The sequence below is a fragment of the Homo sapiens genome, chromosome X, assembly GCF_000001405.40.
Source record: "Homo sapiens chromosome X, GRCh38.p14 Primary Assembly".
In the NCBI taxonomy this organism is placed as follows: domain Eukaryota; kingdom Metazoa; phylum Chordata; class Mammalia; order Primates; family Hominidae; genus Homo; species Homo sapiens.
In genome coordinates this window covers 55,278,864-55,291,486 of record NC_000023.11, presented here as the reverse complement: position 1 = coordinate 55,291,486, position 12,623 = coordinate 55,278,864, and the positions used below count along the sequence as shown (strand labels likewise).

The 12,623-nt window shown below is 38.5% G+C and overlaps 1 pseudogene across 1 annotated transcript; it reads right to left on the bottom strand.

Moving 5' to 3' along the window:
- Positions 1-2,700: 2,700 nt before the first annotated feature.
- On the bottom strand, positions 2,701-11,399 carry LOC100421746 (PAGE family member 5 pseudogene; annotated as a pseudogene). The gene is made up of 5 exons (NR_130179.1): positions 11,335-11,399; positions 10,022-10,113; positions 9,516-9,624; positions 8,642-8,767; positions 2,701-2,818 (listed from the first exon to the last, which is right to left on the bottom strand). The product of NR_130179.1 is annotated as a PAGE family member 5 pseudogene (transcript).
- Positions 11,400-12,623: the final 1,224 nt, after the last annotated feature.

The following is a 12,623-nucleotide window of genomic DNA, read 5'->3' as shown; positions in this document are numbered from 1 at the left end:
GAGCCGAGATCCCGCCACTGCACTCCAGCCTGGGCGACAGAGCGAGACTCTGTCTCAAAAAAAAAAAAAAATAAATAAAAAAAAATAAAAAAAGAATAAAGAAAAAAATAGATTTCAAAACGAAAACATTGAAAGGAGGCAAAAAGGTCACTATATATAATAATAAAGGGGTCAACTCATCAAAAGCATGTAACGATTTTAAATATATATGCACCCAACACTGGAGCACCCACTTATATAAAACAAATACTATTAGAGCTAAAGAGAGAGATAGGCTGCAATACAATAATAGATAGAGACTTCAGCACCCCACATTCAGCACTGGACAGATCTTCCAGACAGAAACTCAACAACGACAACAAAAAACCAGACTTAATCTGCACTATAGACCGCATGGATCTAATAGATATTTACAGAACTTCATCCAACAGCTACAGAATACACATTCTTTCCCTCAGCACATGGATCATTCTCAGGGATAGACCATATGTTAGGTCACAATACATTAAAAAAATTGAAATAATATCAAGCTTCTTGTCAGACCACAATGGAATAAACCTAGAAATGAATAACAAGAGGAATTTTGGAAACTATACAAATACATGAAAACTCAACAATCCACTCCTGAATGATTAATGGGTCAATGAAGAAGCTAAGAAGGAAATTTAAAAATTTCTTGAAACAAATGATAATGGAAACACAACATACCAAAACCTATGGGATATACAGCAAAAGCAGTACTCAGAAAGAGGTTTATAGCTATAAGTGCTCACATCAAAAAAGGTAAAAACTTCAAATAATCTAATTATGCATCTTAAAGAGCTGCAAAGAAAGAGAAAAACCAAACCAAAAATTAGAAGAAAAGAATAAAGATCAGAGCAGAAATAAAAGAAACTGAAATGAAAAAAAAACTAGAAAAGAGCAATAAAACAAAAGTTGTTTTTTAATAAGTCAACCAAAATTGACAAACCATTAGCCAGACTAAGAAAAAAAGAGAAAATCCAACTAAATCAAATCAGAAATAAAAAAAAACTATTTGGGAGGCTGAGGCAGGCAGATCATTTGAGGCCAGGAGCTCAAGACCAGCATGGCCAACATGGCAAAACCCCATCTCTACCAAAAATACAAAAATTAGCCAGGCGTGGTGGCAGGTGCCTGTAAGCCCAGCTACTAGGGTGGCTGAGGCAAGAAAATTGCTTGATCCCAGGAAATGGAAGTTCTAGTGAGCTAAGACTGCACCACTGCACTCCAGCCTGGCTGACAGGGCGCGATTCTGCCAAAAAAAAAAAAGAAAGAAAGAAAGAAAGAAAAGAAATGAAAAAGGAGACACTACAACTGAGGCTGCGGAAAGTCAAAGGATCATTACTGGCTCCTATGAGCAAATATATGCCTATAAATTGGAAAATCTAGACCAAATGGACCAATTCTTAGATACCTACAACCTCTCAAGATTGAACCAAGAAGAAAACCATAACCTGAACAGACCAATAACAAGTAACAAGATCAAAGCCATAATAAAAGTCTTCTAGTAAAGAAAAGCCTGGGACTTTTCTTCACTGCTGAGTTCACTGGCTTCACTGCTGAATTCTACCCAACATTAAAAGAAAAACCAATACCAATCCTACTCGAACTATTTTGAAAAATAGAGGAGGATGGAATATTTTCAAACTAATTCTATGAGGCCAGTATTGCCCTCATACCAAAACCAGACAAAGACACATCAAAAAAAGAAAACTACAGGGCAAAACCGCTGATGAATATTGATGCAGAAATCCTCAACAAAATACCAGCAAATCAAATTCAACAATATATTAGAAAGAATATTCATCATGACCAAGTGAGATTTATCCCTGGGATACAAGGATGGGTCAACATACACAAATTAATTTATGTGATAAATCATATCAACGGAATGAAGGATAAAAAACATATAATCATTTCAATTGATGCTAAAAAAGCATTTAATAAAACTCAACATTGTCATCATGATACAAACCCTCAAAACACTGGGAATAGAAAGAACATACTTAACTGTAATAAAAGCCATATACAACACATCCACAGCTAGCATTGAAATGGCCTTGTGGTCTGGGGTAACTCCAAGAGTTCTTGGTCTCACAGCCAAGGAAATCAACGACACAGACACACCAAGAATGAGGTTTAGAGCAGAAATTTAATAGGAGAAAGAAAGAAAACAACTCTCTGCTACAGAGAGGGGTCCCGAAAAAAGGGTTGCCATCCTGCAGTGAAATGCAGGGGTTTTTATAGATGAGCTAGTGGGGAGGCAGTATCTGATCTACATAGGGTACAAACAACCAGATATGACCAGGTGTACCATCTGCATAGGGCATGAATCTCTGGCAGCCCCTACCCTAAACTTTTATTACACAGGCAGGTCCTCAGCCTGAGCTACTCCATGTTGCTCATTACTTTCTTACTGTGCATGTGCTAAAAAAAGGGAGATGCAACCCCCATGGTGGACATACCTGGCCCCATGTGGCCTTTTCTATCTGTGCAGCTGCTGGCATCCCCCTATGAAAGCTTCCAGCTTCCTATCTATCTATGATAGAAAATCAATGTATCAACATTTTATCTTTATATACCATCTCAAACACAGGATTTAAACTTTCATAAAAGATACAGTTCTCGGGAGTATTAAAAATTCAGAAATAAATTTAACAAAAATATGAAAGAATTATTTGCAGAAAACTGTAAAACTTTATTAAGAGAATGTTAGCAGTCAAATTTCCAGCATAAGAACAACATTCTTGGTTTCAGTCTTCATTTGTCTTGGTTTAAACCTATGGTTGCCCATTACCTATAATATAAATATAAAATTAGAACATGTTACTCAGCAAATTTTTATTTAGATGACACCAGAGGTATACAAATAACCGTAAAATCAGAACCCTAAGGGTGACCCTTTAGCTTACATCCAGTTAGCCTCTGAATAAACTCTGAAGGTAGTTAACAACATTTTTAACTCATACCACATTTTCTAGCACAAAAAGGGAACAAAAAGACTGTTCAAGTTCAGAATGAATTAAACCAAGTGAATCTATTTTATATGTATAAGAGGAAAGCAGGCCAGGCTCGGCGGCTCACGCCTGTAATCCCAGCACTCTGGGAGGCCGAGGCAGGCGGATCACAAGGTCAGGAGATCGAGACCATCCTGGCTAACACGGTGAAACCCCGTCTCTACTAAAAATATAAAAAATTATCTGGGCGTGGTGGCAGGCACCTGTAGTCCCAACTACTAGGGAGGCTGAAGCAGGAGAATGGTGTGAACCCAGGAGGCGGAGGGTGCAATGAGCCAAGATCATGCCACTGCACTCCAGCCTGGGCGACAGAGCGAGACTCCGTCTCAAAAAAAAAAAAAAAGAGGAAACCAAAAAAAAATGCATATACTTTCAGTAAAAATTCAACCAAACGAAAACACAGAGACTGGCACATTGGATAAAAAGTCAAGACCCATCGGTGTGATAGATACAGAAGACTCATCTCACATACAAAGGACATGGAGGCTCAAAATAAAGGAATGGAGGAATACTGAGCAAGCAAATGGAAAGAAAAAAAAAGTAGGGGTTGCAATCCTCATCTTTGATAAAACGGGCTTTAAACCAACAAAATACAAAATTAGCTTGGTATGGTGGTGCATGCCTGTAATCCCAGGTACTAGGGTGGCTGAGGCAGGAGAATCACTTCAAACTGGGAGGCAGAGGTTGCAGTGAGTGGAGACTGTGCTACTGCACTCCAGCCTGGGCAACAGACTGAGACATCGTCTCAGAAAACAAAACAAAACAAAAAATAATACCATTAAAAAGTGGCCCAAGAACATGAACAAACACTATCAAAAGGAGACATGTATGTGGCCAACAAGCATATGAAATAAAGCTCAAAGCCACTGATCATTGGAGAAGTGCAATTCAAACCACAATGAGATATCATCTCACACCAGTCAGAATGGCTATTATTAAAAAGTAAAATAAAATAAAATAACTGGTAAAATAAAATGATGCTGGTGACTTTGTGGAGAAAAGGAAACACTTATTCACTGTTGGTGGAAGTGGAAATTAGTTCAACCATTGTGGGAAACAGTGTGCTGATCCCCCAGAGACCTAAAAACAGAACTACCATTCGATACAGCAATCCCATTACTGGGTATACAGCCAAAGGGATATAAACTGTTCTATCATAAAGACACATGCACACATATGTTCACTGCAGCACTATTCACAATATCAAATACATGGAATCAACCAAAAAGCCCATCAACGGTAGACTGGATAAAGAAAATGGAGTACATATATACCATGGAATAGGATGCAGCCATAAAAACGAATGACATTATCTCCGTGGCCAGAACATGGACGGAGCTGGAGGTCATTATACTTAGCAAAGTAATGCATGAACAGAAAACTAAATACTGCATGTTCTCACTTATAAGTGGAAGCTATAAATGGGAAAAAATAAACACACAGAGGAGAACAACAGACACTGGGGCCCACCAAAGAGTGGAGGATGGGAGGAGGGAGAGGATCAGGAAAAAATAGCTCATAAGTACCAGGCTTAATACCTGGGTGACAAAATAATCGTACAACAAACCCCCATGACATAAGTTCACCTGTATAACAAACCTGCACCTCATGTATGCCTGAACTTAAAAGATACCAAAAGAATAAGAAAAAAATAGATTTCAAAACAAAAACTTTGAGAAGAGACTAAAAGGTCACTATATAATAATAAAGGGGTCAATTCATCCAAAGGATATTAACAATTTTAAATAAATACGCATTCAACATTTTAGCACCCAGATGTATAAAACAAATGCTATTAGAGCTAAAGAGAGAGATAGGCCCCAATAAAATAATAGATGGCGACTTCAGCACCCCACATTCAGTATTGGACAGATCTGCCAGACAGAAACTCAACAACAACAACAAAAACAAAAACAGAGTTAATCTGCACTGCAGACACATGGATCTAATAGATATTTACAGAACATTTCATCCAACAGCTACAGAATACACATTCTTTTCCTCAGCACATGGATCATTCTCAAGGACAAGACCATATATGTTAGATCTCAAAACATTAAAAAAAAAACCTGAAATAATATCATGGATCTTGTCAGACCACAATGCCATAAAACTAGAAATTAATAACGAGGAATTTTGGAAACTATATAAATACATGAAAACTGAATAATCTGCTCCTGAATGAATAATGGGTCAATGAAGAAGCTAAGAAGGAAATTTAAAAAGTTATTGAAACAAATGATAATGGAGACACAACACATCAAAACCGATGGGATACAGCAAAAACAGTACTCAGAAAGAGGTTTATAGCTATAAGTGCCTAAAACAAAAAAGGTAAAAACTTCAAATAAACAATCTAATGATGCATCTTAAAGAGCTGCAAAGAAAGAGCAAACCAAACCAAAAATTAGAAGAAAAGAAATAATAAAGATCCCAGCAGAAATAAATGAAATTGAAATGAAAAAACCCTATAAAAGAGCAATAACACAAAAAGTTTTTTTAATAAGTTAACCAAAATTGACAAACCATTAGCCAAAGTAATAAAAAAAGAGGGAAACCAAATAAATAAATCAGAAATGAAAAACGATTTGGGAGGCTGAGGCAGGTGGATCACCTGAGGCCAGGACTTCAAGACCAACCTGGCCAGCATGGCAAAACTCCATCTCTACTAAAAATACAAAAATTAACGAGGCATGGTGGTAGGTGCCTGTAATCCCAGCTACTACGGTGGCTGAAGCAAGAGAATTGCTTGAACCCTGGAGGTGGAGGTTCTAGTGAGCTGAGACTGTGCCACTGCGCTCCAGCCTGGTGACAAAAGGAGACTGTCTCCAGAAAAAATAAATAAATAAATGAAAAAGAAAGAAATGAAAAAGGAGACATTATAAAATTGATGCTGCAAAACTTCAAAGGATCATAACTGGCTCCTATGAGAAACTCCATGCCTATAAATTGGAAAATCTAGAAAAAAAATGGACTAATTCCTAGATACATACAGCCTCCCAAGAATGAACCATGAAGAAATTCATAACCTGAACAGACCAGTAACAAGCAACAAGATCAAGGCCATAATAAAAGTCTTCCAGTAAAGAAACACCCGGAACTGATGGCTTCACTACTGAATTCTACCCAACATTTAAAGAAGGACTAATACCAGTCCTACTCAAACTATTTCGAAAAATAGAGGAGGAAGGAATACTTCCAAACTCATTCTATGAGGCCAGTATTATCCTGATACCAAAACCAGACAAAGACACATCAAAAAAAGAAAACTACAGGGCAAAACTGCTGATGAATATTGATGCAGAAATCCTCAACAGAATACTAGCAAATCAAATTCAACAATACATTAGAAAGAACAATCATCATGACCAAGTGAGATTTATCCCTGGGATGGAACGATGGTTCAACATATGCAAATTAATTTATGTGATAAATCATATGAATGGAATGAAGGATATAATCCATATAATCATTTCAATTGATGCTGAAAAGCATTTAATAAAACTCAATATGTCATCATGATACAAACCCTCAAACACCGGGGAAAGAAGGAACATACTCCAATGTAATAAAAGCCATATACCACAGACCCACAGCTACTATTGAAGTGGCCTCATTGTCTGGGGTAACACCCATAGTTCTTGGTCTCACAGCCAAGGAAATCAAGGACATGGGCACACCAAGAGTGAGGTTTACAGCAGAAAGTTAGTAGGAGAAACAAAGAGAACAGCTTTCTGCTACAGAGAGGGGTCCCAGAAGAAATGGTTGCCATCCTGCAGTGAAATGCAGGGGTTTTTATAGATGAACTAGTGGGGAGGCAGTATCTGATCACCTACATAGGGTACAAACAACTGGTTAGGACCAGGTGTACCATCTACATAGGGCGTGAATCTCTGGCAGCCCCCACACTAATCTTTTATTATGCAGGCGGGTTCTCAGCCTGAGCTACTCCATGTTGCTCATTTCATTCTTACTGTGCATGTGCTAAAAACGAGGAGGTGGAAAGCCCATGGTGGACATGCCTGGCCCCAGGTGGCCTTTTCCATCTGTGCAGCTGTTGGCATCCCCCTATGAAAGCTTCCAGCTTCCTATCTATGATAGAAAATCAATGTACCAACATTTCATCTCTATGTACCATCTCAAACACAGGATTTAAACTTTCAAAAAAGATACAATTCTCAAGAGTATTAAAGATCCAGAGATAAATTTAACAAAAGTGTGCAAGGATTCTTTGCAGAAAACTGTAAAACTTTGTTAGGAGAATGTTATCAGTCAAATTTCCAGATTAAGAATAAGATTCTTGGTTTCAGTCCTCATTTGTCTTGGTTTAAACCTACGTTTTCACATCACCTATAAAATAAATATATAATTATGGCCCGTTACTCAGCAGATTTTTATTCATGTGACACTAGAGGTATACAACTACCGTGTTGATGAACTAATATCAGAACCCTGAGGGTGACCCTTTAGTTTACGTCCAGTTAGCCTCTGAATAAACTCTGAAGGTAGACTTCCAGGCATATTAACAATATTTTTAATTCATGCCACTTTTTCTAGTAGGATAAGGAAACAAAGAGACTGTTCAATTTCAGAATGAATTAAATCAAGTGAATCTATTTTGTATGTATAAGTGGAAAGCAAAAAAAATGCATATACTTTCAATGAAAATTCAAAGAAACAAAATCCTAAGGGAAAAGATATTTTAAAGTATCATTTAAATATTTTGATATGAAATAACACTCTGAATATAGAATATGCTTAGAACAGCCTTAGTGAAGGAAATAGAAAAGTCAGTATTACATTTGTTTTGTGTCTCTTGTGAAAAAGTGTAAAAACGTTACTTTGGACTAGTTTAGCCATTATGTAGTTGCTTTAAGTAGGGCGAACATTTGCACTATTTTCACGGGTACTCCTGTCTCTTTACATGCCTAAAAGCAGTTCAGTTTGTACAGCAAACTGAATACCCACGCTAGCTTTAAGCCATTACCATCACAGTTAACATTGCAATATAAACTGATGCTTATTATCAACATGTTATGTATTTGTTAAAAACAGGCCTCTATAAAACTATCTGAAAGTTATTGGCTGTTGGTTAAATGACTTACTTTCAAAAGTCAGAACATGTTTTCATATCTTTCTTTTAAAAATCACACATAAAATAATATATATTTATGATGTATAACATGATGCTTTAAAATATATATACACATTGTGAAATGGCTACATCAACCTAATTAACATATGCATTACTTCACATAGCTGTGAAGACACTCAAAATCTACTCCCTTATCATGTTTCATATCTTTCATATCATAATCCAATTAGCTTTGACCCAATTTTTCTCCATCTCTAGAAGTCCTGGCCTCAAGTGATCCTTCTGCCTCGGCCTCCCAAAGTGCTGGAATTAACAGCATGAGCCACCACACCTGGCCCTCTATCTCTGATAGTGTGTAAGGCAGCCATTTGGGGTCTGAACTACCTTCAAAGAATCTTTAGATGTGAAGTATGATATTGAAGTAGCAGTAATTTTACCTCTGTGTCACATAAAATATAATATTGTGAAAATAGAAACCCTATAGTTTCCATCTTATTGAGTAACATACCTGCTTCCAGCACTTTAGTGGGATCGAAAGTGGGCAGAGTCCCCTCCCTGACATCAGGACCATCTCCAGGTGCATCCTCTATCTTAAGCAGAGCCAGTTCCTGTTGAAAAGCTTCCACATCAGGTCCTTAAAAGATAAAAAGGTCATCAATTTACAAATTAAAAACTGAACTACGAACGAGGAAATGATAATATTTATTCCCTCATCATTATGAAATAAAAACCTATAGGCTAATTATTTCAGGAGTCTCTTGCCAGGAAAACAGGAAAGCAGAGATGTTCAAACATTGCGCTTTCCTTTCCCAAGGCTGGCCCTAGACAACTTACTTGTTCCTTTTGTACTCATTTGTTCTTATTCTTATCACATTAAATCAGTGATTTGTTTGAGTCAGTCTGACTAGACTATGAGCTTTAGGCAAAAATTTGGCACTGACATCTCCAGCACTTAGTATATTACACAGCATGAGGAAGCATTAATAAATGTGTGTTAAAAAGTTTCTTAAAAATACATGAGATGTCCGTAGATGGCAGACTCGGAAGCTGCAAGCTGCCATTCTTCCACAGAAACATAAAACAAAACAAAACAAAACAAAAACAGAAAATGACTGAACAAACCATACAGGAACTCTGGAAAACACTCAAAGGTTTACGGCAACCATGCAAATACCCAATCAATAAAAAGCCTCTGTCAAAACGGCAGGAAAGTTTTGTGGCTTTTTATGTGTCCTTGTCCCACCTCTCCGCACAGCAGCAGTAAGAAATGTTTAAGATTCCTTCCTAATGTTTTCTGTCCTCCTGTTACTGGTATGTCATAAAATATAATGCATAAATATACCTCCACCACCCATAAGCATTATTCTCCACTCTTCCTTCACCTTGAAGGGCAGGTGCCGCTTCATTTTCGATCTCCCCAGTAGGTGCAATACCCTGATTTTCAGTTGGTGGCTCCTCTTCTTGACGTTTTTCCTCAGTGGGCTGCTGGACCTAAGGGTGTTAAGTGTGTGTGCGAATAAAAAGTCAATAATATAAATACACAAATGCATATGTGCATCGAATCATAAATCTAAAGACATTTTTCCAACAGATATATATACACACACACACACATGTATGTGTGTATATATATATATATATATATATATATATATATATATATATAGAGAGAGAGAGAGAGAGAGAGAGAGAGAGAGAGAGAGAAATATCCATATCCATACAGGGTAACACCAGAATATAATATTCCTGAACCAAAGTTTCCTTCATGAGATGCCATCATCATTTTTTAACAGCATGGAACACCTGTATCAGTGCATGTACACTAGCCCAAAAATATTTTTTAAAATAAATTGTGCTAATAGAAAACATCAAATGTTAAAGGACTCACAATCACAGATACAACTGGCTGGGAAGACTCTTAGTCATTTCCTCTTTCTGAGGATTGGGATCTTGTTCTTACATGCTCACTCATATTTCCCACTGAAAACAGAATATTGTTATTTGGAAAAAGTGTGTAAGAACTTAGCTATATATATGAACATTCCATGGCAAAATGGTGATTTGTACTTTTTTAATTTTGAAAATATTTTCAAAATAATTCACAGAGCAATGATAAGTACGCATGCTTTCCAATCAAACTAAGGACAGATTTGTTTGTATCACGGTCGAAGAGGCATAGAAATCACCTTAACGCCACAGCAAAAGACAAGAGGACTTTTTTTTTTTTTTTTTTTTTTTTTGAGACGGAGTCTCGCTCTGTCGCCCAGGCTGGAGTGCAGTGGCGCGATCTCGGCTCACTGCAAGCTCCGCCTCCCGGGTTCACGCCATTCTCCTGCCTCAGCCTCCCGAGTAGCTGGGACTACAGGCGCCCGCTACCACGCCCGGCTAATTTTTTGTATTTTTAGTAGAGACGGGGTTTCACCTTGTTAGCCAGGATGGTCTCGATCTCCTGACCTCGTGATCCGCCCGCCTCGGCCTCCCAAAGTGCTGGGATTACAGGCGTGAGCCACCGCGCCCGGCCAAGAGGACTTTTTTGAGTTTTGGTTTTACAATTAGACTCTCCGTCATGAAGGCATTTAGGAAAAAACGGGCAGAGAATTGAAATAACTACTGCTTTCGTCCCACTTTAATTTACTAGGCCCATTTCCCCCCTACACCCCTCCCACCAAAATCAAGTTTTGCTGGAACGCACAGCCTCGCCCATTCCTTCCCATGACGTCCATGGCGGAGGTGAGAAGTTGCGACACAGAGGGAAGTTTATGTTCCTCACGGGACACCTCTGCCAGGCACTCTACAGACCTCAGGGCCGCAGTCACCAGCCCACAGCGTTCCTAGTTCCCAGGCCCCTTCCTTGCCGACCTCACCATCCCTTCCCGCGTCCCTACTGAGGAGTCTGGAAACTGTCCTCTCTCAGAGGGTTCCAGTTTTCGGGACTCAGATACCTCTAACAGCACCTCCAGCACTCGCCCCATCTTCACGTGATCCCTCCCCTCTGCGGCCCACTTTCCTCCCTAGTTCCAGCCTAGCCACTACGTCAAGGCCCATAGCAGCATTGCGACCTGGGAGGAGCCGGACGACGACTGCGAGGCCCCTTTCCCTCAGAAGCCAAAGACTGTGCCGCAGGACCTGTCCAAAGCCCGCTGGCTCCTCCTCACATTCACTCACAACTAAATTCCCAGGAAGACCGCTCTGCGGACCTACCGGCTGAGCCTCAGTCAGAGAGAAAGAATCAAGATGGTGGAAAGAATGAAGATACTACCTCTTCTCACAAAGCTCTGCATGGACAGAAGGTAGGCAACAAGGCGCATGCGTAACAGACATGCGTAGCAACAGAAATCTGCAGTAACAGATCTGTGCAGCATGCGCACTGAGTGGGGCATTCACCACGTGACTGAAGTTTTCCTGCCTCTGTGGAGAACCTAGACCACAAGCTCTCCTGACACCAAAAATGAACTTACAAAACACTTTACTTTTTCCCCCGCCCACCCTTTCTTTCACTTCCAATGGCTTTGGAGAATATGAGCCCCAGGTTACTCTAAGGGAAGAATGTGTTTCAGAAAAACTCACCATCATAGAAATAAATATTAAATATTTTAATACCTGTTTTATATCTGCTTTCATGTATCATTTTCTTGCCTCCTTCACGAGTTTGCTGTCGTGCTTGCAATGAACTTACCCACTCCAATACAATAAGACATTCATAGTTTTTAGTTGCATTATTGTACATTCAAAATCATTGATCCATCTGGACAAAATTAAAGTGATAGGGACTCAACATTAGTTGTTGAATCCCTGTTTCACTCAGTGTTTTGAAATGGCTCTTTTATCATCACCTACATCCCCACTCAATTTTGTATGTAACTCTCTACTTTTAATTTTCTTCTATTGAGTTGTTTATAACCATACCACTACCGCACTTTTTTAATTGCTGTAGCTTGATTCCATTTGAAATGTGAAATAATGCTTGCCCTCCCTCATTCCTTTCTCTTTTTCTGTCTATTCTGACACGTTTGTCTTTCAGATGAACTTCAGAATCATTTGATCAGGTGCTAAAATATTCCTGTTGCGATACTAGTTATTATTTTTAAATTACATCTTAGGGACAATAACCATCTTTCTATTTTAGAATCTCTCTATCCAAGAAAAAGCCACTACTCAATTCCTCAAGTCTTTTTATGTATCCCTCTCAATGATTGTTATTTACTTCATATTAGTTCTTCACATTCAAATTAAATTTATTCTTGGGCATTTTTATTGTTCTATTCCATTGCTGACAGGTGTTTGCTTTCACTCCACTACATTTTTCATAGAAGTCAAACAATCTCTGTTTGCAAACAATATGGTTCTATACCTAGACAATCCCAGACTCTCTGCCCGAAAGCTCCTTGATCTGATAAACAACTTCAAGAAAGTTTCAGGATACAAAATTAATGTACAAAAACCAGGAGCATTTCTATACACCAACAACCTTCCAAGCTCAAAGCCAAATC